Here is a 26,446-nt window from a genome sequence, read left to right on the forward strand (position 1 = left end):
CTTATTATTTTGTGATACGTTCCATCAATACCTAGTTTATTGAGAGTTTTTAGTATGAAGAAGTGTTGAATGTTATCAAAAGCCTTTTCTGCATCTATTGAGATAACTGTGTGGTTTTTGCCTTTGGTTCTGTTTATGTGATGGATTACGTTTATTGATTTTCGTGTGTTGAACCAGCCTTGCATCCCAGGGATGAAGCCAAGTTTATTGTGCTGTATAAGGTTTTTGATGTGCTGCTGTATTCAGTTTGCCAGTATTTTATTGAAAATTTTTGCATCGATGTTCATCAGGGATATTAGCCTGAAATTTTCTTTTTTCGTTGTGTCTCTGCCAGGTTTTGGTATCAGGATGATGTTGGCCTCATAATATGGCCCAGGGGTTTGGGGCCCCTGTTCTAAGTACTTACTATTTTTAGCAAATATTTTGTCTAATTAAATTTATTAGTTGGTGTATGTCACTGACAACTTAGAACCCTGACTAATATATACAGCTCATACTTAGTGAATAACTATGTGTGGGATATAGTATAATCATGGGTTTCCTTTTAGGAGGGGATTTATAGAACCATTTCTTCATGTATGTTCAGGGCCAAGGCTAATGTTATTTTTATTAAATGCCCAAGTCATTTGCTCTCTAGTTTATTTCGGGTTGATTTATTTCATTGAAGACCTTAGGCCTTGACTCCAGGCTTGTTGCAATTTTTGTTTGTAAGCCCTGAAACAGAGATTCTATTCTCCCTGAGGGAGAAATGGTTATGAAGAGAGCTTCTCATGTTAGGATGTAGTGGCTGGTGTCAGGCAGTGATTTCCTTATCATCACCGTTGTGATTATCTTGGCATACATATATTGCTGATAATTGATATTCTCTATGAAGAGCCTGTTTAACTCACGTCTCATCCCAAGTGAAGGGCCATCTTGAGCCTGAGTTTCCCTCTGGAACTCTCTTTATGTTGCTGAGAAGCACAGTGCCTCCTGGCACATTAGCTTTCAGTCTGTGAAAGCAGATACTTTCAAATGGGAAAATGCCATGCAAGGTGAACTGTTGGTATTTTCACAGCAGGCAAATTCTTAGCACCCTCAGTATAAAAACACTAGTGAATCACATTTATGGTTTTGTAACCATTACAATGAGAACAGACAGTGACATTCAAATCTCAGAAAATTGAACCCTTGATATTGATTGTTAATGTGGAAAACTTGAAGAAGCAGGTAGAACACTGTGACCTTACGATGTGAATTCTCTAATCAGACCATACAGATCAGTCAAGTATTTGACTTATTGATTTTTGGAGAAACAAGCTATTTTGTATGCAAGATATGAAAATACTAGAAGTTTTCGCCCTTGATTCAGAATAAGCAATGAGAGTCAAGGTCTTATGCAGTAAATTTGAAGTTATGTTAAGTAGTATATACTTTCAATATTTTAACAGAAGGGATCATCAGTTTTCTCATACATGTAGCTACATATTTAAAACAGTATTATTTGCATTTATATTTTAATTTCTGTTTTATCTCATATTAATTTATTAATACAGATGTAATGTTATTAAGAACCAAACATACTATTCTAAATATTTAAAAGATCTCCACCACACAGAATTATAAACTTCTGCGGCCCACATTTGAACATACTTCTTTTCTGCAGTCTCATCTCTGTAAACTTTGCTCACTTAAAAAACTACTCATTTAGAGCTTTATCTCCAATTTCTAGTACTTTGGAGGCTAAAAATGCAGTTGGCTGAGTTACCCTGACCTGTTAAAGCAGTCTTTCCATTTTAACTTAAGTTCACCTTAAGAAACATAGATTATCTTTGGACAAATGGTGTTGGATGAATTCTGCTTCCTAAAACAATAATGTAAGTAGTATTTGAGTAAGTAAGTATTTGAGCATTGTGGCATTTTATCAGAACAATTTAAATTTTCCCCTAATCTCTTCAATCACATCTTACAAATATTTGAAAACAATTATTTCCTCACTCTGGATAACCCTGTTGTACTTGCAGCCTCTCCTCCTTGCGACCTTCTTTTCTCCTTGGTGCTGTGTTCTGCAGCTGGCTCTTCATTTAAATTCCACCACAAATTAGTTGGCTTGGGTTTTCAGTGTTCTGCTTTAAGTAAGAGGGGCCTCTCCCCCTCTCCTTCTCACCCTCTCCCTCTCTCCTTCTCAGTCTCTCCCCCTCTCACCCTCTCTCCTTCTTCCTCTCTTTTTTTGGCAAAGAGTAATCTTTAGGCAGTCTTAGCTTCTCCCAAAGCTTAAGACTAGAGCATTGCTGCTTAGGTAGAATAATGTGTAGAGAGAACTCTCATGTTTCAGAATGACTTTGAGAAACCCCAAATCCCAAAATTGTTTTAATCTTTAAATGACGTTGAGATTTTTATATCGAAAGTATTAAATAATTGTATGTAGCCTCTTGTTGGTAGATATTCTAATTTGGTAGGATTAAAACACATTGTCCTTTAAAAGCTTACTAGTTATAGCTAGTTTTAGTTACAGCCTACATCTTGTGTTTTTATTTTTATGGTTCAAATAGTGCCTGAATTCTAGATCTGCATGAAAACCATGCTTTCTTCTCAGCGTTTGGCACTTTAGTTGTCCCTCCCTGCCAACTACCTTCTTTACATATACACTTCAGAGGTTAAATAAGAGGAAGCTAGAATGAGTCTGAATAGTAGATTCTAAGGCACAATTACAGTATTAAAATCTCATTCATCTCTGCTCCAGTTTTGAAAGAGCATTGGTGGGAAATTATAATTATAGCAATAGCTGAGTTGGCTCCTTGTGACACAGATTTATAATGTTAGATATTAGGGATACTTATTTTTTTTTTCCATCCAAAGTCTAATTTTCTGAGTCACTTGGAATTTTAGATCTTGCCTTTCTCCAGGGACCATCTGGTTTGGAAAAGGTACAAAGATTGTGAGCTGTGGTATGGGCATGTGGAAGAGATACTAGCACAAGGCACTAAACAAATAGAGGAGAGAGATGGCTAAGGCAGAAAGAGCAGGAGAGCCAAGGGGAGGGAGTTAATAAGGCAAGAACAATAAAAAAGGGTGGTTGGTGAAGAAGGTGTTGTGGTGAAAAGGAAGAGGAGATTGAGGAGAGAGAATGTAGAGAAGAATAAATGGTGATAAAAGGATGGAGGGAGAATGGATTCAAAGGCAGAAAAATTAGTAATAAAAGAGCAGTTAAAGGAGAGTAGGAGGTAGAGAGTAGAGGAGGGTGAGGAAAGGAAGGTTACAAAGATGGTGAGGAAGGAAGAAAGAAATGGATTGACTCCATATCCAGTGTTCTGCTAACATTGGTGGTAGTCACTGCTGTTAGCTACATGGTCTGTTTATATTGAAGGTGAAATCACAGCAGTATAGGGCAGATCAAGTGGCATTTAATGCTTCACAGTTCCTGGAGGGGAATGGATGAACAATGAATGATTTGCATCTTTTTACTTTTGTAAAGAGTCATGAAGTTAAACGGAATTAAGTGAATCATCAAATCACCTTGTTTTCCTCTGAAAAAAATTAAGTATATGCTTTGGAAAGAGAATTTATTTGTGTAGCAATAACAGTTTATTAAATACATGAAAAGTTGAATTTTACATATTTCATTCAAGATAGGAGAAAAAAGAAAACTTAAGCTAAACTTTTAAAAGACACAAGGTGTTATAAAGCAGCTTTTGGTGACATTTATTGTGGAGCCCTTGTTTTGAGATATGCGTTTTTTTTTTTTTTTTTTTTGGAGAACTGTTGTTGCTGACCAGGGAATATTTTAAAACTAGAAATAGGGCCTTCATTAGCTTGGAGTTATTCAGAAGTCAGCTGCTATTTAGATGATTTTTGATGTAGGGTAGAGGGAGAGACCTCAAGGATATACCTGAAACTATGCACTTTGGCTGGGCGCGGTGGCTCACGTTTGTAATCCCAGCACTTTGGGAGGCCAAGGTGGGCGGATCACCTGAGGTCTGAAGTTCAAGATCAGCCTGGCCAACACAGTGAAACCCCATCTCTACTAAAAATACAAAAATTAGCTGGGCGTGGTGGTGGGCTCCTGTAATCCCAGCTACTCGGGAGGCTGAGGCAGGAGAATCGCTTGAACCCGGTAGGCGGAAGTTGCAGTGAACTGAGATTGCATGTGTCAAAAAAAAAAAAAAGAAAGAAAAAGAAAAAAGAAACTATGCAGTTTGTCAAAACGGGCAAACTGAGTCTCCTAAAGAGGGCCTTTCTGTGTAAAGTGAAGTTCTGCCTAGGATTGGTCCTTCCTGTGTAAGTGAAGGTCTGGTGTGGAGCACTTCAGTTATCACTTGACGGATTCCTAGCTGGCTACACTTGATACTTGTATCTTTAAATTTTTCTTGATTTGTATTTTTGTGTGGGGCAATTTTACCTAATATATTATTCCATTCACAGAATAGAGGAATTTAATCAGCATGAAATCTTGGAATGTTCATATCTCAGAATAACTAATTAAATATATAATAGACCATTGTGAAAGTTGGCCTTACTGGTCTATTAGATTGAATATAAAAAGGGACAGCTAAAGAAAAATTATTTTGCTTAAAATAAAAACATTCTTTTAAAAGTTTGCTTTGGAGAGCAGGAAGCAATTGTATTGTAAGTATGTATAATTATCTGCATTCCTTTCCAACCTCTTTGGGATCAAATTGGTTTTCTCCAGGAAAGGCAATTATATGCAGGAGGCCACTTTTTGTTGAATTAGTGTGTGTTGCATGTGGTGCATCCCACAAACCTGAAATCAGAGATGCACTGCTATGATTTATAATACCCATTAATTACAGCTTTGTATTAAAGGCTTTTAGTTTTCTGCTTCAGTAAACCTAAATTCTCCCTTTGAAGAAGAATTGCTTACATTAGGTCTTATGCTAACTAGTGAATCCTGTCTTTTAGAGTCTCATCAAGGGTACTTGATGCAGCAAGAACTTCTCAGTTGGCTTTAAATGGGCTTTGCTGAAGCTGTTTAAGATTGTAGGGTGATGAGATAACTGGAAGAGATTCTGGTCTTGTGATGGGGAGGTGGCACACAACATGATTCAAAGCATTAATCAAAAAGGATTTATGCACCAGATGTTTATCATCCTTATAGCTCCATGCCAGACTTTGTACTGTATCTGATGTACACACTTTCCAGCTAGCTCAGTGGTTCTTAACCCCAGCTGTTCTTTAGATTCACCTGGAAAACTTTTTTTAAAAAGTGCTCTGTTTTCACCCCAGAAGAATTAAATACTAGGCATGGATGTTTGTAAAGGGCCCCTTGTTGAATCTAATATGCAGTCAAGACTGAAAACACAAGTCTATTCAGTCCTTCATCGTGGCTTTTTACTTGAAAAGTTAGATTTCCCCTTCCCTTTGTTTTCAGCTTCTTATTCCTTCCAGAAGTAAATAATGTGACCAAGCAAAACAAACGAACAAAACCGGGTTGCATTATTTTTTCCTGAGCTTCTGTGATAGTTTCATTCTATATTTGGGGGACAAATATTTCCCTGGCAACCCTCTTAAGTTTTGTAACTTTACCTTCCACCACCCCTGCGCCCTATCTGAAGAATATCTAGTCTAAGTCTAAGGTCTCTTTGCTAAACTTGAATAACTTTGCCAGAGACCTGCTTTTCAGTGGGGCTCTACTGTTTTTTTTTTTCTCTGTGAATATTTAAAATCACATTTCGACTTAGAAAAGTTTTGAAATTAGGATGATAGTGTTTTTCATTACATCTTTTCTTGTGCAAATTACTCATTAAACTTCATTTTGTTTAGATTTCACATGCTTGAGGAATTTGTAGATATTATGCATCCATTTTTTAAGGAAAGGAAGCATGATTAAGTATAGACTAATCTTCCAAAGCATCAGTTTGTCCATTTGAAAAATGTCTGTGTTTGCTATCTACTTTTTCTGCAATTCTGCTATCTTTTTTTTTTTTTTTTTGAGTCGGAGTCTCGCTCTGTCACCCAGGCTGGAGTGCAGTGGCGCCATCTTGGCTCACTGCAAGCTCCGCCTCCCGGGGTTCATGCCATTCTCCTGCCTCAGCCTCTGAGTAGCTGAGACTACAGGCACCTGCCACCATGCCCGGCTAATTTTTTGTTTTTTTTTAGTAGAGACAGGGTTTCACCTTGTTAGCCAGGATGGTCTCTAATCTCCTGACCTCGTGATCTGCCTGCCTCAGCCTCCCAAAGTGCTGGGATTACAGGCGTGAGCCACCGCGCCCAGCTTACTCTGCTATCTTTAAAAACATTTAAAATTTTTTTCATTTTTATGTGTACATAGTAGGTGTATACGTGCCATTTTAAATTTGAATATATTTGGAAATAATACTCTACTTGTGGCAGGTATTCCTAAATGATGTTGCAAGAAGTTAAGCAGGGAGAATACTACTACTGCTGCTGCTGCTGCTGCTGTTTGAATGTGGCCTCTCCCAAATCCAGGTGTTGCCAGTGTGAGACTATTAAGAGGTGGGGGCCTTTAAGAGGTGATTAAAGAGGTGTACTCAGTTTATGATCCCTATTTAATAGGTGAGAAGAAAGTGGAGGCTAGAGTGTGAGAGAGCCCAGGTTTGCCAGACACCAGAGCCAAGCTTTTAACCCATGCTGTTCAGCCTTTTCTCCTACCTCTGTGCACTTCAATGCTGCCACTGGCATAGAACTCCTGGTAGCATACTCTTTTTTTCCAGGGGAGCATATTGACTTGATTTGCTTTAGATTCTTTGTTTCTTTCCTCCCAATATTGAGCATTAGGCAATCGGCTGCTCTGGGCATCCGATTTTATTTGCATGCAGTGGACTAGGCACTGAGGAATGCAGGCATGCTTTGAGGCTCCGTCATGAAGGGCGAGCCAGAAGGGCCTATGGAGAACAATTAATATGTTTCCCCTCACAGATATAAATACAGTTTGATTGGTGACTGTATTTTCTTTTAGCCTCCTCCCTTCCTCCTCCTACAACTTTTTTGTAATCAGCTTCGAAGTATAACTCACATATCACACAATTACTCATTTAAAGTATATAATTCAATGGTTTTTATGTATTCACAGAGTTGTGCAACCATCACTTCAATTTCAAAATATTTTCATCACCCCCAAAAGAAACCCTGTAACTATTAGCTTTCATCCCCAATCTACCCATCCTCCCAGACCTAGACAAACACTAATCTACTTTCCCACTCCATAGATTTGCGTATTTTGGACATTTCATATAAATGGAATCATATGTGGTCTGTTGTGACTGGTTTCTTTCAGGTAGCATACTTTTAAGGTTCATCCATTTTGTAGCATATGTCAGTACTCCATTCTTTTTTACTGCTGAATGATATTTCATCGTGTGCATATACCAGAATAACGACTGTTTTCTAGCTTGTGCATTTCACTTGTCAAACTCCCAGCATTGTTTTGACTGCCACAGCCAACGTCCTGCCCCTCACTAATACAGGACATAATAGGCCCAGAGCATGTCAAGGATTTTCCAAAGTTGCATAGCTAGACTATGGCTAAAATGGAACCATTCATTCTTTTGCACATTTATCACATTTTTATTGAGTGCCTAACATGTGCAAAACACTATGTTAGGTTTTATGATATATACAAACATAAAAGACATGGCATGTTTCCTTAAAGAACTTAGGATCCTCTAGGGATGTTGAAATATGAAACAATCTGTGTCTGTGCCCTAAGTGTGTCACGGGCAAAGTCAGGTTCAGAGGAAGGAGAGAATTGTTTCTGCTTGTGATTTGAGGCTACCAGTTTTCCTGACTCCTAGGTCAGTGTTGTTGTTGTTGTGGTTTTGTTTGTGTTTTTTTAAAAAAATCATTACCTTACCTCTCTGATGTCACTTTGGGTGTCCTAGATACACTCTATATTCCACAGATTTATTCCCATGCCCCTATCCCCTCATGAACTTAAACATTAAACATGAGTCATTATTGGAATTATTGTAGTTTTAACTAATAAATAGTAAAATTTTATTGGACTCTTGAAGGTCATGGGTCATCATGGACTTAAAAATTTTAGTGTCAGTACCCAGTTGTCCAGAATTTAGAATTGGTAAAATACATTCAGCTACCAAAATTGCGCAGTAATATCATCCTGTTTAATTCAGCTGGAATTTAAGTTAATGGCAGATTTAATGGATGGGACACTTTGTAGCTTCTGCAGACCCTGATAAGCTTTACATAAATACCAAGTTGCAGCTACTTGAGTGAACTACAGTTCCACAAGAGAAATTCACTTTAGGATATTTTGAAATACCATTCATCTGCTTCAGTTAGATATTTTAGGTACCATGTCATTCTTCCCTATTTATTAATGTTATATAATATTATACCATGTAAAAAGTATTAACAACGTAACCATCATTGTATTTGCATTGTAGCGTAATCAGCTGTGAAAGATGAATTTTCAGATGTATACTTATAGTACTCTTTGCTAAAAATTCTGTAGGCCACCCTGACTCATTGGTTATAATATTGTGTAGTATAAGTAATTTCATGATGTGATTATTTTTATATTTATTTATTTATTTTTGAGATGGAGTTCACTCTTGTTTCCCAGGCTGGAGTGCAATGGTGCGATCTCGGCTCACTGCAACCTCCGCCTTCCGGGTTCAAGTGGTTCTCCTGCCTCAGCCTCCCAAGTAGCTGGGATTACAGGCATGAGCCACCATGCCCAGCCTCATTATGTGATTTAAAACTTTATAATAAACTGTAAGAAACCAAAAACAGATTTTACTCATGAATTTTATGAATGAGTTGGATTTTAAGAGATTTATTTATTGGGCCTCACTCTGTCACCAAGGCTGGATTGCAGTAGTGTGACCACAGCTCACTCCAGCTTTAACCTCCTGGGCTTCATTGATCCTCCCACTGCAGCCTCCTGAATAGCTGGGACCCCAGGTGCTTGCCACCATGCCCAGCTGATTTTTAATTTTTGTTTTATAGAAACAGAGTCTCCTATGTTGCCCAGGCTGGTCTTGAACTCCTGGGCTCAAGCAGTCCTCCCACCTCAGCCTCCTAAAGTTCTGGGATTATAGGCATGAGCTACTACTGTGCCTGGCCAAGTTTTATGAAATTTAATTCCTAGTTTTAGAAAATGATACGTTATATATTGCTTACAAATACTACTTAATAGTTATAGTTTGGGGCGTATGTATTCATTTAAAAGTAGTATAAAGGTATTTTTAGAATTAATAACGTCAAATATCGTACAATATTATTCAGCAAAATTAAAATCCATAGAAGATAGCCTTTCTACCACTTTTCACAAGAAACCAGAATGCTTTCCATTTCTATAACATTTGTTGCTTAAAATATTTAAGTGAGCATTTATTTTTATGTCTTGTCGACACATAATTTTTTCATATTCACATATGTCTTAGCTAAATACTACTACTGTTAACAACACTACTCGTAATAGATATTTTAGTTAAATTGATATTTTAGTTGAAGACTATAGATTCTTTATTTAAGGGTAGACTGGTAGACAGGAGGTTGTAGTAGTGAGAGTATTGGAGACCCTGGTAAGGAAAGACATATTTGTTTAAAACCAGATGATAACCTCTGTGAAGGATAAATCAAAGTTTGTCTTTGTGATTATAAGCAATATTTTTAAAAAGTATTATAACCCCTATTTGTGTTGTAAGCTGTTTGCATCTTTTATAGCATAGTATTCCCTGTTCATAACGGATCATCTATGTCAGTGATATTGCACAATCATGCACTGCACTAAAATATAAACAAAAATAAATGAAATAACAATAGTAATAGCTAATGTTGATTGTTTTCTGTAAGTCTGATAACGTGTATGTTTAATACCCGTAATACTACGAGGTGTAGAGATTTCTCACTTTACAAATGGAGAAACTAAGGCACAGAAAGGTAAAGCAGTTTGTTAATGATCACTTAAACTTGACTAATCCCCTTATCTGTGTTCTTGACCTGCTGTACTGCCTTTTAAAAAAATTACTCTATATTCCTTTTCTCAAACATGAAATACTGTATATTTTTTGTAACAAGTTGAACAAGTAAGAAAGAGGTACGTTGACACTTAGACTATACATTTCATTTTATTAGTTGTTGTTGTGTTTTTTGTTTTTTTTTTTTTTTTTTTTTTTTTTTTTTTTGAGAGAGATTCTTGTTCTCTCATCCAGACTGGGGTGCTGGGGCATGGTAGCATGATCATAGTTCATTGCAGCCTCGAACTCCTGTGCTCAAGTCTTCCTCCTGCCTCTGCCTCCTGGGTAGCTGGGACTGCAGGCAAGAGTCAGAGTGCCTGGCTGCATGTACATTTTTTGATACATACAAAAACACATATGAGTTTTTTGGAAATTAACATACTCTACTAAAATTATTTAATCTTGACTTTGTATGAAAGTACCTTCTTCTTAGTTGGAAATTTGCAAGTGATTTTAGGTTGGCCCGTGCACTAGAATTTATATTGACTTTGAATTAGACAGACATGGGTTTGAGTCTTGACCTGCCAGCGTACTGTGTTCCCTTAGACAAGCTCTTTAACATCTCTGAGCCTAAGTTTCCTCATCTGTAAAGTAGTTATCATTTTTTCCAGGGTTCTGTTCTTGTCTTAAAGATGAAAGATAATCGATTAAACGATACTCTGGTTAAAGATTTATTACATTCGGCCGGGCGCGGTGGCTCATGCCTGTAATCCCAGCACTTTAGGAGGCCAAGGTGGGCTGATCACCTGAGGTCGGGAGTTTGAGATCAGCCAGAAGAACATGGAGAAACCCCGTCTCTATTAAAAATACAAAATTAGCTGGGTGTAGTGGCGCATGCCTGTAATCCCAGCTTCTTGGGAGGCTGAGGCAGGAGAATTGCTTGAACCTGGGAGATGGAGGTTGCTGTAAGGCGAGATCGTGCCAATGCACTCCAGCCTAGGCAACAAGAACAAAACTCCACCTAAAAAAGGAAAAAAGGATTTATTACAGTCATTCCATATAATTTTGAGTCACTAAAAACGGAAAGAAACCCCATAAATTAAGAATAGATAATCAGAACTGATTTGTGTGTTGGTTGATAATTCTGAGCATTAACTGACTTGCTTATATAGTAATCCATTTGAAATTGGTTGATTGGCCATAATTACTTGGTTAATGTGTTGTAGACTACTAAAAAAAAGCATCAAAATTTAAAACAATTCTTTCAAGAATAACGGGAATAGGAAAAGTTACAGGTACACTGCTTTTATTCATAGCCCTTTTATGATTCATCTTGTTTTTCAGGTCTTAACTGAGTAGAGAGAGAACTAATTATTTTTTCTGTCTGAGTAGGCGATAGTTTCCAGCTGTTCTTTGCAGATTTTTAAAAGCTACGTTTTTAAGTGCAATTTAATGTTCTTATTACTGTATTACAGAGGGAAAAGGTTTGCTCTCTCTTTCACAGCTGTATATATTGTCCCATACACATGTGGCCTTTAAAGAACATTCAAATGTGCCACTGTCCTCATTATGGAGCTCAGATGGCTGAGGATATAGTGGATGAAGACCTGGCAACATTTTTAAGAGTGTGTATGTGTTGTGGTTTTTTGGTGGTTGTTGTTTGTTTATCTGTAAACTACTTTGCCTTTTGCAAATCCAGCTAATATATATTGCAAGGTCACCAGCCGCGTGGTAGGCAAGATGAAGTCTGAAGGGAAGCTAAAGCAAGTAACTATAGTATCAGGCAGAATACGATAATTTACATTACAGAGTAAGTAGTGTTCAGAGGAAAGGAGAGAGAATGTCTGGATGAAGAAAGCAAAGAAGGCAATTTGAAATGCACCTGAGAAATGAGGAAGATTTATCAAGAGATGGGGATGGAGTATAAAGAGGTAGTTAGGCAGATGCTGTAGGTAGAGAGAATCTTGTGGGCTGAGAGTTGGAGTCATAAATGCATGACATGTGTTTAGAGTATGGCAAAGATTCACTTGGAAGTAAGGAGAGGTGAAGAGTATGGAACAGTGTGAGGAGCTTGAAGTCTGAGTACATTTGTATTTAGTAAGCAGTGGAAAACTGTGACTTTTTAAATTTAGTTTTTCTTCTTCCTTTTTATTATTTGTAAGCTTTTTATCTTGAAAGAGTTTTACATACACAGGAAGTTGAAAAAGAAATGTATAGAGGAGTCCAGTGTATCCCTCACCCAGTTCTCCCCAATGAAAACATCTTGCGTAACTTTAGGTGTAATTAAAAAAACTAGGAAATTAATGTTAGTACACAGAGCTATTTAGTCTTCATCAGTTTCACATGCACTTGTGTGTACTTGTGTATGTGAGTAAGGAATTTTATCATATTTATGGATTCATGTAACCATCACTACAAGACTTCCCTTTATCTATACTCACTTTCTCCAACTCCCCACCTCCTACGCTTGTCAGACACTAATTTGTTCTCCATTTCTCTGATTTTCTTTTCTTTTTCCTTTTTGAGACGGAGGCTCACTCTGTCACCAGGCTGGAGTGCAATGGTGTGATCTCCACTCACTGCAACCTCCGCCTCCCAAGTTCAAGCAATTCTCCTTTCTCAGCCTCCCGAGTAGCTGGTACTACAGACGCATGTCACCACGCCCAGCTAGTTTTTGTATTTTTAGTATAGACAGGGTTTCACCGTGTTGCCAGGACGGTCTCCATTTCCTGACCTTGTGATCTGCCTGGCTCAGCCTCCTGAAGTGCTGAGATGACAGGCGTGAGCCACCACACCCAGCCCATTTCTTTTATTTTCTTATTTCAAGAATATTATATAAGTGGAATTATATAACTTTTAGCTTTTTAAAAAATTTTGAAATAATCATAAGTTCATAGAAAGTTGCAAATGTAGTACAGAGAAGTCCTTCTCATATATCCTTCACTCAGTTTGCCTGAGTGATTACATCTTACATTAACTATATTATAATATCAAAACCAAGAAGTTTACACTGGTACAATATGTGTTTGTATAGTTCTATGCTGTCTTATCATGTGAAAATTTGTGTAGCCATCCCTGCAAGAAAGATACAGAACTATTTAATCATTACAAAGATTTTCCTCATTCTACCCTGTTATAGTCATAGCACCCCATCCTTAATCCCTGGCAACCACTGATGTGTTTTCCATAAATTTTGTCACTCCAGAAATGTTATGTATATATAGACTCATACAGTATGTACATTTTAAGATTGGCTGTTTTGTTGTTGTTGTTCAGGATAATGCCCTGGAGATCCATCCAAGTTGTTGCATATATCAATAGTTTGCTTCTTTTTAAATCACTGCATAGTATTAGTTTGTTTAACCATTTATCTGTTGAAGGGCACTGAATTATTTCTCGTTTTTGGCTATTATAAATAAAGCTGCTATCAACATTTGTGTACAGGTTTTTGTGCGAACATAGGTTTTTGGGTTTTTTTTTTTTCTTCATTTCCTTGTGACAAACACCCAAGAGTATAAATGTTGGGTCATATGTTAATTGCATATTTCATTTTTAAAGAAACTGCCAGATGATCCAGAGTGACTATACTATTTCACATTCCCACCAGCAATGTAAGAGTGACTCTGGTTTTGTATTCTTACTGGCATTTGGTGTCATCACTGTTTTATTTTTGCTCTTCTGATAGGTATCTAGTAGTATCTCATTATGGTCTTGATTTGCCTTTTCCTAATGGCTAATGTTGTTGAACTTTCTTTTTCTATTACAGACTTTTTGTGTTAGAAACAGACATGATTCGGGATGATTTTTTCCTGGCTTACATGAGGAGAGAAATAAGCGATAAGGAGGTTATGTTAGAAGCTGTTGAACTAGTCTAGTTGGGAACTTCAGAAGGCTTCGTGGGTGGCCAGTGTTAGAATAGAAAGAATGATGGGTAAGTCTGCATGGCTGGGATGGGAAGGATTATGGAAAGAAAAAGTAAGATGAAAATTTCGGTATTGATGCCTGGTGACCAAAGGGTCAAGATATTGCTGACCAAAATAATTTGGATTTTTTTTTGTTGTAATTTAGGGGAAAATGATGAGTTTGGTTTGCAGTATGGTCATTTTGAGTGCAGATAGGTTATTTAAATTGAGTTTTTCAGAAAGAAGTTATAAATCTGAGTCTGTAGCTTAGAAAGGTTATGGCTAGAATTATTTGAAAATCAAATATAGAGGGATGATAATTTATATTTTTCTTGGGGAAGAGCACTAGTAAGCAAAAGAAATATATAAATCAGAGATTCAGAAGAAAACCTGGTGGGGGGGGGACCAATTTAATAGACATTGGTGGTCAGCACAGAGACATTCTATAGAAGACTGAGGAATATAAGCACAGAAGAAAGGTGCTGAGGGCAGTTTCAGTTCATTGGTATATGCAAAGGCCAAATCTTAAGGTATTAAGGTGTGTATATGTGAACAATACATTTAGGGATTTTTTTGTTTTTTTTAAACACAGGAGAAACGTTTATATAAAGAGAAAAGAGGAACCAGTAGTACCGTGAAAGATTGAAGATGCATGTGAGAGCAAATTATCTCAAAGCTACAGAGAAAAGATGCCTGATAAGAGAAGCAAGATGTGAGGGGCACATTAGGGATAGCATCAAGAGACAGGAGAAAGTATCAGCTTTGTCAAGGAGATTAAATATATATTTTATAGACTCAAGAGGGAAGGAAAAAGTCTACCAAACACAAAGATTTTTTTGAGGCGAGAGGCTGAGGACCAGCATCAGATGGTCTCCTTGATCCTCTTAGGAAAGTAGATTTTTTTGTTGTTGTTAAGATGGAATCTTGCTTTGTCGCCCAGGCTGGAGTGCAGTGGTGCCATCTCTGCTCACAGCAGCCTCCGCCTCCCGGGTTCAATCTATTCTCTTGCCTCAGCCTCCAGAGTAGCTGGGATTACAGGTGCGACACCACACCCGGCTAATTTTTGTATTTTTAGTAGAGATGGGGATTCATCATGTTGGCTAGGCTGGTCTCGAACTCCTGACTTCAGGTGATCTACCAGCCTCGGCCTCCCAAAGTGCTGGGATTACAGGCGTGAGCCACTGCGCCTGGATGATTTTTTTTATAAGACATTTTGGGTGATTCTAGATTATTTATTTCCAAAACTATGGCTTTGATTAAAGCCTCAGGATATGAGCACAATACAATCTTTCATTAAAATGTTCAAACAGCAGCAGCAGCAAGAAAGGAATGCCAACGGCATAAACAATATGTCTTATAGTCCTACCAGTGGTTGTTACAAAAGGGACACACACATATCTACCCATGTATCTTGCCAGAAGGAACTTATCTTTAAAAGTATTATGGTGAACATGGAAACATACTATTCATATAAGAGACATAGTTTATAAAAAACCCCACCAAAACCAAACTTTATGAGTCTTGGATAACCCAGAAGCTAGTATTTTTCAGTAATGAGGAGTAGAGGAAACGGTCACTGGGCAAGGCAATTGCTAATAATGAGTGTTAGTTCAGTGTAGATTATGAAATTCTGCAGGCCTGGGGAGCAAAAGAAGGAAAAGACACATGCAGCAGGAAGAGAATGGGAATAGTGAATGAAGAGGCCATTTCTTGTATTGCATGTAGTGTTTTTGATTAGGAGAGGGAGTGGTTGTTAGTGTTGATCATCAATCACTAAGACCTGGTATTTCAAATAACAAAAGTACCTTTGTTGTAAAGTGAAATATTTATTTTCTTTGAAATGTAAGGTTACATAACTTGCAATGAAATGTAAGCCAGTATTGGTCAAAACTAAACAAAACCATGAGAAGACAATTTAATTGTGACGTAGAAGGAGTAAAAAGGGTAAATAAAGTGGCCTGAGTTTGGTCCTAAAATGATTACGATATTAAATAGTTCTCATGCCGTTAAAATAGTACTAGGCCTTACTTCCTTTTATTCATTGATTTAATAATACCACATGCTATTTCATGTACTTATTTCTATGGGATTTTGGTTACTATTTATAGCTAAAATTTATTTACTTTATTCTGCTTATTCACAAATAGTATTTCGACCTGGCTTGAGCTTTATAGACCTAAAAGCTTTAGCACATGGAACATTAAAACCATGCTTTTCACTTGGATGACTGCATAAAGCCTTTTTATAACAGATTCTAAAGCCTGATGCAGGACAGTATTCACACAGATGTTGAAAGAGTAAGTAACAGATATAGGGATTGTTGTAGGGATTATGCTGTTGTTAGCTGTTGTCGTCGCTTTCTTTTTTCTTCCAGAGTATAGAATAAGAAGGCATAGACCTAAGTTTCAACTGAACTCAGTTTGCTTGGACTGAGAAGAAACTCACGTGGTTTCTTGTCACACTCAGAATTTAAAAAAATCCCAACTCCTAACTGTGATCCAAAAGCATGCTCTGGTCCCTGTGTGTCTGCCTAATTTCATTTTTTAAAACTAGGATTTCTTTGTTCTTTTTTAGCCATACCATTTTGTTGTTATTTCAGGGCCTTAAACTTGGCTTTTCCTTTACTATGGACCATTCCTTTCTGGTTTTTCTGTGACTCTCCAAATACAGGTACTTTAGGCCCTTTACATTTGCTTTTTCTTCATCCTTCAGTATTTTCCCCCTAGTTCTTTGACCTTTATTCAGGTCTGTTTCCTCAAATGTCTCCTTCTCAGATAAATTTTTCCTGTCTAAAATAGCCTTTTAGTCCCAACCTTCCCTTATTACTCCCCACTCCCTTACCAGATTGTTTTCATTATAGCAGTTAATTATATCTGACAGTCAATTTTGTATTTGTTTCCACCATTAGAAGACAGGGACTTTGCCTTGTTCATGTCTCTGTCCTTAGCATCTAGAATAGTGACTGTCAGGGAGTAATCTAGTCAAAGTACTCAAATAAGTACTGTTGAATGGATGCAGGCTTGCCTAATTAAGTTGTAAGGACAAGTTACGATGAAGCCATTATTTAGGAGATATTTGAATATGGGTTAGTTAGGTGGGATGATAAGTAGAGGGATGAATATCCATGGTAGAGATTGAGATTCCATGAACATGTGACAGACTGGGAAATCATACTTTCACATCCTTCTGGCCACCGTGGTTAGTCTAGGGCAGCTTGACCCAAATTGAACTTAACCCAAATTGAGCTAGGCAGAGTACCTAGCTTTATTCTATGAGGCCCTGCCCTTGCCCTGTTTACCTTAACTCTTCCTTAGATCCTGTGAGCTGCTGCAACCTGGAATCCTTTTGATACTGCTGTTTTCCCCTCTTTGGGTAGTTAGAATTTAGTTTCTATTCTTTGTCCATGTAAGAGTTCTGCCTAATATCAAGGGGTAGAGATAGGTCATGTGAATTAGGTCGGAGTTAGATGTATGTTTGTAACTATTAACATTAGACCTGAGCAAGTATTGGTTTATGCAAAGGGCTGATATATGCAGTACTGCATTTTCTTGTCCTTTTAATTTTAGGTCTCTAAGACAGAGTAGAAGCTACGGAAAAAAAATGTGTGTCTATATGTTAGGAGTTTTTAGGTTATAGGAAATCTGAGCATCTGTAGTAGTCCACATATCATTATCAATGGCTAGAGAATCTATCCACTTATCTGGTTGGCATTTAACGAGTGTGTACCATGTGTAGGACATTTTCCTTACATACAAAGGTTAATTAATTCATTTTACAGAGACATTTATTGAATGAAAACTCCATGCTGTGTTTTGCAGGGTCACAGTTAAACAAGCCCTGGCTTCCCCCTTAAAGGAGCTTACAGTCCAAGAGAGTGAGCATGACAAGCAAACAGATTTGTGCAAAGCGCCATAGGAGTGTGTGTTGCAGGGATGCCAAGAAGGGAGTCATCAGTTCTAAGGTTAAGATAGGAGAAATTTCTTGGAAGGTTCTTAAGAGATGGAAAAGTTAAATAGGTGTTTGGCAGAGAGAGGTATTGGGTGTTTGTGGAAGGAGAATTGGAATTCCAAAGAGTAAAGGTGTGGAAGTGCTGGACCAGTGGAGGAGATGTTGTTCAGAATGTCTGGAGAGTATAGCCTAAAGGGAAGAAGTGTCAGGTGAGGAATGGGACAGAAGAGGAGGCTGAAAGAGGGAGAACAGGCTAAAGAGTTGGGACTGTATATGGAGGGTAGTAAGGAGTCATTTAACCCATTTATGCCTAGTGTTCCATTATTGGAACGCTAAGCTTGTGTAGTAAGGAGTCATTTAACCCATTTATGCCTAGTGTTCCATTATTGAAACGCTAAGCTTGTGGGGGTTATTTATATCCTGCTCATGGTCATCACCAAGGTCTGATTTTTCACAAAACAATTTGCAACCTATGGCATGAATGGGTTAAGAGACTTATTCAAGGAAATAGTGGAACATATTTGTATTTTGGCAAGTACCCTGCCATGACAAAGTAAAGAATGGGCTGGAGGCAGGAAGACCACGGAAAGCAGATAATCTGAAGCCTTATGTTCTTAGTCACAGATCCGTCCTTAGGGAAAGTGAGGCCTTGCCTGAGCAGAGGCTCTAGATGGGCGGATTGAACTTCATGAGGATGCTGAGAACAGTGAACACATTCCTGATGTGTCCAGTATATATGGCATGTTCAACTCCCCCAACAGTTATATCATCTTTATAGCTCAGCCAGTCATATTTCACATTAAATGGCAAACCTAGGCATCAGAAATGAGACCTTGGAAAACAGCTAGATAACTAGCATTGACATAGGAATTATTGTGTAACAACTTGGCTTGGTGAGATTCATGTCTGGGGAAAATGGATGAAAATTGAGTAGACACTCAATAAATATTTCTGTGGTTGGTTATTTATATAAAAGCCTTAATCTTTTTTCCCCTTACATAGAGTGTACATTTGATTTCTTCTAGTGTGAAGCATAAGGATTTGTTTTTCATATTCAGAAAATAAAGCAGTTGAGAAAATTGTGTGATGAATGGCAAAAGAATTTAATGTTTATTTTTGGTGACTTTTATGTAGCCCTTGAATTTTTATAGTCATTGTTACATCAGGAAAACAATTTAAAAGATTACTAGTCAAGTTCTAACAATTCCCCTAGAAAGTTACAACAAAAATGACTTCTAATAAGCTTGTTTAATATTAAATTTAATTGGAATAAGCACTCGATTTTGAATCAGTGTCTTCAAGTTTACCATCTTCTATGACATATTCATGTTGTTAAAGATGGACAAGAAGATGGAAACTTCCATGTTGCCCAGGCTGGAGTGCAGTGGTGTGATCTTGGCTCACTGCAACCTGTGCCTCCCAGGTTCAAGCTATTCTCCTGCCTCAGGCTCCTGAGTAGCTGGGACTACAGGTGCATGCCACCATGCCTGGCTAATTTTTGTATTTTTACTAGAGATGGGGTTTTACCATGTTGCCCAGGCTGGTCTCAAGCTCCTTGCCTCAAGTGATCCTCCCACCTTGGCTTCCCAAAGTGCTGGGATTACAGGCATGAGCCGCTGCCCCTGGCCTGATCAATGAAATTTGGATCTCAAAATTATTTTTATGGTACTACAAGCACTACATTTAGAAATAATTAGAAGCAAACACATTTAACTTGCAGAAGAAACATTTTACTAAAAACCATATGGCGATAGATAATTTGATTTTTTTTTAAAGAAGCAAATTGAACACATTGGGGATTGAAATAATTTGAGGATTCTGTAAATGTACTCTTAAAATAATTGTCTCTAGGGTAAGCATGTTAATTCTGAGTGAAGCTCAGTCAATTAATTCGAAATAGGAGAAGTGATAGTAGTGGTGATGGTGGGAGTTTTAGTAGTGTTTGTTACTAGCAGCAGCCACTAGCTTTTAGCACATAGTCCATTGTTTTATATAATGCATATTTGTTGAATATATAGTTGAAGGCCTGTTTATATGTTCCCTTCATTTATTAATTTTAGTTAATACAGTAAAGTTTAGTTTACAGTAGCTGTGTAAAATTGGGACTAGTGCCCTCATTTACAGATGAGGAAATTGAGGCACTAAGGAATGAATTAAAGGTCATATAGCTAGTAAGGGCTAGGATTTGAACTCAGGCATGTCTGACCTTCAACTCAGGCTTACATCATTTGTTACTATGTTCTTTCCATCTGACTTCTGAATTCCCCTTTCAGTTTTATTTATATTAAAGTCCCTAGTATGTAATCTCTGAGTACAATCAGAGCATGCATAATATTGATTTTATATTGAAAGAGGTTGGAAAAGGAGAACCCCACTAGAATGAATGGCCAATAAGTTTTCTGGTGGTGTTGGTTGGAATCCCAGCCAACCATATTTACCAGGATTATTGCCTTAGCAACAGCCTGCCCGCCTAATATTTAATCTGCAAAGTAGTCTGCTCCAGGAGCAGTGTTCTTGGGAAAACTTTAATCTATACACCAGGGTTTCAAAGCTGGGCCTTTTTGGCAGTAGAAACTGTAATTAGTTCAAAAGTAGAATGTAGATTAAGTAGTCACTTGGAATTTTACTGAGAAATGATTCTGAGAATGTTTTTATACTTACTGAGCAAGTGAGACCTGTTACCACCTTCAGGGGAGGAGTCCCACTGTGTGGAGGACAGCAAGGAGCATAACAACACCTACTGTCAGGAGCAGCAGTCCCAGGATGTCAGCCCACCACATGGTTGCAATTGTTGGATTCCTGAAGAGATACATGACTCACACAGGCTGTGGATGGAACAATACTTTACTCACATAGAGAAGAGGTGGCAAAGTCAGCTTCAGTAGTGAGTTGGTTGCCATGTCTAGCGGGTCTCACCCTGCAGCCAAGGCAGGGAGGTTGTGGGTGTGCCCTCATCCCCTCATGCTACAGATGAACAACCCTGTTCTCTCCTTGCCAGATATAGCAGTGAGGTTGGCCAGGTACTATATGATGCACATGCTTAAACAGAACAAAGAAAGAAACCTCCAGCCCAGAACAGGGAAAGACAGTCCCTAAGAGATATGTGCAGTACAGCTTGTGAGAACTCTATCTCTTTATAAGGAAATGTAGGCCCAGGCACATCCTTATGTGGCTGTGCAAGGGGCCACAGGCTGCACATGAGTGGGCTTCCCAAGGGTCCTTAAGCTGTAACTGAAACGTCTCATGCTTAGGAGTATAACAGAGTTCTCTGTTTTAAGAATTATTCTTAATTATTGGTTATTAGTCTGGCAACTGGATTTGAGATTTGTTTGCATTTTTAAGAGTATGTGTGGTGTTTTAAAAGTGTTAGATTATTTAGGCCGGGTGCAGTGGCTTAGGCCTGTAATCCCAGCACTTTGGGAGGCCAAGGCAGGCAGATCATGAGGTCAGGAGATCGAGACCATCCTGGCTAACATGGTGAAACCCCGTCTTTACTAAAAACACAAAAAACTAGCTGGGCGTGGTGGCGGGCACCTGTAGTCTCAGCTATTTCCTACACTGTAGCACAGGGAGCTGTTCCTTTGTTAACTTATTTGGGATTCTGTCAAGATGGAGAGTTAATATAGGCTGTTGGCTCCTTCTCCCAAAACTAACCATGGAGAAACTACAGAAGTAAGAGGAAAGCAGAGATCTGAGGAAATACCTAAAATAACTATGAAAAATTATAGGGGTGACTGAGGCTGTTGCAAATTGGTATGCCTGTGTATGTGGTTTCGTGTAGGGCGCAGGGTGTCCTGAGGCATCAATCAGGAGAAGCAAAATTGTTTTGTTTTTTTTTTTTGTCTTTGAGGTTTGAGGTTTGATGTGACTTTCTCCAATTGCTTTGAGACAACGATTGCCCGCCCCTTGCCACAGAAATTGGTGTTAGTTGGGTTATTTCAGGGCAGCACTAAAGGCTGATGGGGTGAGGAGCTGATGAAAACGGGTACAAGCCAACCAGCTGCCCCAGGGCACTGATTCCTCCTGGAGCGCGCAGATTATACCCTACTGAGATTGCCTTCTTCCAGTGCTGCTTCTTTCTGGGACTTTAAAGGCTAATCCCTTTAAAAGAGTTACCCTTTAAAGGATTTACATTTTAAAGGAGTTTCCTGGTGGTAGGCAGCAAACTGGAGTGATCAAGAGAGATTTTTGTTGCCAGTGGCTCATCCCTTCCATCCTTCTCAAATTCACCAAGACAGACAGTACTAGGACTTGTGTTTTGGCCATTTTTTTCATGTATGTTTCTAGACCTAGTAGCTCATAGCTTGTGTTGAATATGATCCCAGAAGCCAAAATAAGTATATGGAGAGTACAGCCACTATTGAAAATATGAGGAGATAACAAAAGGAATAGTATAGACTTCATGAAGCAGAATTATCGAACTGAGGGATCAATAATTAAAAATAAACATAATAAATGTATTCAGCAATAAAGGACAATAGTAGCAGTATTAACAAACAAGAAGTCATAAAAAGAACAGAGTAGGAATATTAGATTGACAAATATAAGACCTGAAGTAAAGAGCTTAATCAGATAAATAGGATGGATATAGATAAAAGTGGATTGTTGAACTTGAATATCATGTTGAGGACCTCCGGAGGCAGAAGGAAAAGCAGAGATAGAAAATATATATTTTTTATTTTTGAAGAGACATCTCACTATGTTGCCCAGGTTGGTCTCAAACTCCTGGGCTCAAGCGATCCTTTCACCTCGGCCTCCCAAAGTATTGGGATTACAGGTGTGAGTCAATGCACCTGGCCCAGCAGAGACAGAAAATATTGGAGAAAGCTAAGAAACATGGAGGGAGAGAGATAATAGTGCTAGCATTCAAATAATAGAATTCCCAGAAGGGAGAAAAGAATTTGAAGGAGAGAAAAATATTCAAATAAATAATGATGGTAAATTGTTCAGAATTAGGAAAGAACAAAGACTTCAAATTCAAAGGGCTAAAAGAGTATCATGAATGAAAGACAAGAAAAACCCATATCCTGGTAAACTGTAGTGTAGTGAAATTTAGGAATATCAAAACCAAAGAAATCTAAAATATTTTAGAATGATAGCATAGATTATCCATATGGAACATGAGTCAGACCAGATTATCTTTTCAGCCCCTATGTTCTCAGTTACTCTGCATATTTGAGGTGAGGGAAATCACCTATATAATGTATAATTCAAAACTTGCAAAATAAATTTATGAATTCATATTCCATTTGATAAAGTATTTCTCAACGTAATAAGGGATATATTTTCTATATAACCTTCCTGATTGAAAAAGATACAGGGTGGCAGGTCATGATACATAACCTTGTAATTTTGTATAACTATTTGGGAGAAGTTACTAGCATTTTCATTAAAGAGATACATCTCTTTTTACTTTTGGGAGTGTGTACATGCTGTTTTCTTTGATCTCATATTACAGTATGTATTTTTTAGAAACGTGCTTTTGCAGCCATAGATACAATGAAATAGATGATTTTCTAACAATAACATATAACATAAATGATTTTTAATCACATTGATGCAGGATTTTTGCTCCTTTAGCTCAGCTAGTTTTGGCTTCTTGTCTCACCACCAGGAACATTTAGGCTCACAGGCACCAGAGATTGACTGGAGTAGAATTTATTAAGCAAAAGGAAAGCTCTCAGCAAAGAGAGGGGTCCTGAATGCAGGTTGCTGGATGCCCCCTCACAGTTGAATACCAGGGCTTTTATTTAAAAGCTGATGAGGCTGGGTTCCTTATTTGTATAAGATGCCAATTCCTGGCAGCTCCACCCAGTCCTTCCAGTGTGCATGTGGCCCCTTAGTTTGAGCCGCTCCATATGGATTTATTTCCTGTGCTGCGCATGTGTTAAGGAATGGAATTTTCTACTGCGGGCATGTTTAGGCAAGCCCCCTCTGTAAGTTCCCTTACCTGCACAAAACATCTGGTGTAAACACTTGTGGGGCGTGTCGGAGGTTGTCCGGGGACCCTTCCCTTACTGTCTGCCTAAAGCAAGATGGCTAACTCCTTTCAACATGTCCTCATGCTCCTAGATTTTAATTCATTTAAATATCATGTTATTATTGCTTGTGTACCGGACAGAAGTCTGTCCAATAGAAATGTGAACCACATATGTAATTTAAAATTTTCTGATCTCACACCTGTAATCTCAGCACTTTGGGAGGCCGAGGCGGGCAGATCACCTGAGGTCAGGAGTTTGAGACTAGCCTGGCCAACATGGTGAAACCCTATCTCTACTAAAAATACAAAAATTAGCAGGGCATGGTGGTGGGTACCTGTAATCCCAGCTACTCAGGAGGCTGAGGCAGGAGAATTGCTTGAACCCAGGAGGCAGAGGCTGCAGTGAGCCCAGATTGTGCCACTGCACTCCAGCCTGGGTGACAGAGGGAGAACTCTCTCTAAAAAAAAAAAAAAAAAGAAAAGAAAAAAAAAAGGATGAAGTTAATTTTAATTTATTTGATTTAACCCAATATATTGCAAATATTGTCATTTTGATATATAATTAGTATACAAAGTTATTGAGATATTTTACATTCTTTTCTCTATGCTAAGTCTTTGAAATTTTGTGTATATTTTATGGTATATCTCAATTTGGACTAGCCACATTTCAAGAACTCAGTAGCCACATGTGGCTAGTAGCTACTGTATTGTCAGCACATCTTTAAAGCAAATAATTGTTCAATATTCTGAGAATTGTTGAGCAACTTAAGAACTGCCTTTAAGACTTCCATTTTATTAAGAATTTGTAGAACTGGATAGTTCTGTAGCAAGTGATACTTGTATCTATTATAGCTTGTAATAAAAAGCATTAATACAGCAATACATTATATGTTTGCTCTAGTTTTAAGGATAGAAATTACATCAAAGCACATAAATCTACAAAAAGTTCTGAGATTGATCGATTGATTTCTACAGCTTTTTCTTAAGTCCAGATAGTTCTGCCTGGATGCTTAACAAGCAGTTCAGACTTAACATGGACAAAACTGAATCTTAGTTTTTCTTCCAGATTTATTCTTGCTCCTATTAGTGAGTAGCATCTTCATTCTTGCCTTGCATAGGGGCCAAAAAATCATGTCTTGACCTGCAGCTAGAATGTTGGTGAAAAGTCACAGCCTACTGTTGTAAATGTCCTGTTTCCTTAAGTCCTTTGTTGCCCATATGTTTACTATATGTCTTTAACCAAAAATATTTACTGTACTTTTAGGTAATGTTAATGTAATTAAAAAAATCAGTGGCAACTTATGGCAAATACATGTGTTTTTTGGTAGTTGACTTTAAAATGTGAACTCTTTGATAGTTCAAATGAGAGCACTGTTGAAGCATCTTAGTAGGACAGATTTTAATTCATGCTGGCATTAATTTGATTAAATAAAATTGATGATTAAAAGTTGATTAAAATAAACTGAGGGGGAAATAAATCAGGCACAAATAGCAGAACAGGAAAATCAAGCTTTACATTTGGTGCTCTGTGCTTTGTCCAGAGGATCTTGTGACCATTCATTCAAAACATTTTACTAAAGAAAACAAAATTTAACTAAGACATGCAAGATGAAAATCTCTCCCTCTTCCTAGTTGTATAACTGTTGGTGGTTCTTTAATTGCAACAAAGTGCATTTTTATTTAAAGATTGTGGCTGCTTCAAAATAATACTATTTGGGGCTTCCTGTGTGTATTGAGACCTCTTGGAACTAACATTGCCTATGGGTTTTTGTTCCCTTTCCCTTTTCCTAGGATGTGTAATGAAACATGAAGACGTCAAATATAAAGGATGGCAATTGCTCAGACTTGTCCTTTGCTTGTCTAGTTATCCATCAAACACTATCAGTGTGATTGTGCCAGAAAGTATGAAATAATGTTATTGGAAAGCAGTCAGTCAACTGTATGTCAAGGTCACTTAAAAGTCTCAGCCAGCTGTTCTGATATCAAAGAGCATTTTACAAATATGATATATTAAAATGATTACTCTTAGGAAGTGTATCCCCAAACATGCTTACTTTACCCTGACTCTTGATTTTATGCCTTGGTACTTTGAGTAGAATAGGGCAGGTACAGATAATAGTATGTCACAGTGGTCTAGAATCTACACCTTTCCTGCTTGCAGTATGGTATTAGCTAGGGTCCATTCCATCACGAAAGTGGCAGCTCATCATTTTGGGCAGTCAGAAAAATAGGCAGTTGTTATAATAGCTACATTGTTTTTTAAAAAACTTATGCAAGCAGGTAAGGGTTTTTTCACTTTTAGACCAGCATCTTTTCTTTACCGTAGAATCTAATTATTGTCTCTAATCTAAAAGGAGATAGAAAAATGTAGTAACCTAAAGGAAACAAAGAATAAGAAAAATATCTACTTTTTGTAAGAATGGGATTTTGCATGTAATTTGATTTACTAGGTGACCTAAGTTAACAGGGAACTGATTTATATTTTTACTGGTATTAATACATTAAATTCAGGGGTTTCTGTGTTGTTAAAGGAATTCTGTGTCATTTGAAACTTCTATGAATTTAGAAATGAGAAGACATCAGTGATCTAGGTGGCTACTTGTGATGATTCCTAATTTTGTAAGGAAAATAAAAAGGAGATGGAAAAAGGATTTGGAACAACCCTGATGTGTTTGTTACAACATTTCAAAATATGTCTATTTCATTTTCCTTCCAACATCCTCAATAATGAGTTT

General features: G+C 37.7%; 1 pseudogene, besides 5 other annotated features; it reads left to right on the forward strand.

Annotated features, from left to right (window-relative positions):
• The window catches only part of PRIM2BP (primase 2B, pseudogene), a 264,192-nt pseudogene that overhangs the window by 79,757 nt on the left and 157,989 nt on the right, over positions 1 to 26,446 (forward strand).
• Positions 4,606 to 5,107: an enhancer, noted in NCBI's record as "NANOG hESC enhancer chr6:57337645-57338146 (GRCh37/hg19 assembly coordinates)". NCBI's record gives its function as "activates a minimal SCP1, AML or CMV promoter by ChIP-STARR-seq in naive H9 embryonic stem cells {active_cell/tissue: H9 hESC(naive)}" and the evidence as "EXISTENCE:reporter gene assay evidence [ECO:0000049][PMID:30033119]".
• Positions 6,090 to 6,591: an enhancer, noted in NCBI's record as "NANOG hESC enhancer chr6:57339131-57339632 (GRCh37/hg19 assembly coordinates)". NCBI's record gives its function as "activates a minimal SCP1, AML or CMV promoter by ChIP-STARR-seq in naive H9 embryonic stem cells {active_cell/tissue: H9 hESC(naive)}" and the evidence as "EXISTENCE:reporter gene assay evidence [ECO:0000049][PMID:30033119]".
• Positions 21,766 to 22,497: an enhancer, noted in NCBI's record as "OCT4-NANOG-H3K27ac hESC enhancer chr6:57354999-57355730 (GRCh37/hg19 assembly coordinates)". NCBI's record gives its function as "activates a minimal SCP1, AML or CMV promoter by ChIP-STARR-seq in naive H9 embryonic stem cells {active_cell/tissue: H9 hESC(naive)}" and the evidence as "EXISTENCE:reporter gene assay evidence [ECO:0000049][PMID:30033119]".
• Positions 22,970 to 23,578: an enhancer, noted in NCBI's record as "H3K27ac-H3K4me1 hESC enhancer chr6:57356203-57356811 (GRCh37/hg19 assembly coordinates)". NCBI's record gives its function as "activates a minimal SCP1, AML or CMV promoter by ChIP-STARR-seq in naive H9 embryonic stem cells {active_cell/tissue: H9 hESC(naive)}" and the evidence as "EXISTENCE:reporter gene assay evidence [ECO:0000049][PMID:30033119]".
• Positions 23,579 to 24,186: an enhancer, noted in NCBI's record as "H3K27ac-H3K4me1 hESC enhancer chr6:57356812-57357419 (GRCh37/hg19 assembly coordinates)". NCBI's record gives its function as "activates a minimal SCP1, AML or CMV promoter by ChIP-STARR-seq in naive and primed H9 embryonic stem cells {active_cell/tissue: H9 hESC(naive and primed)}" and the evidence as "EXISTENCE:reporter gene assay evidence [ECO:0000049][PMID:30033119]".

The sequence above is a fragment of the Homo sapiens genome, chromosome 6 (genome assembly GCF_000001405.40).
Source record: "Homo sapiens chromosome 6, GRCh38.p14 Primary Assembly".
Classification (NCBI taxonomy): Eukaryota; Metazoa; Chordata; class Mammalia; order Primates; family Hominidae; genus Homo; species Homo sapiens.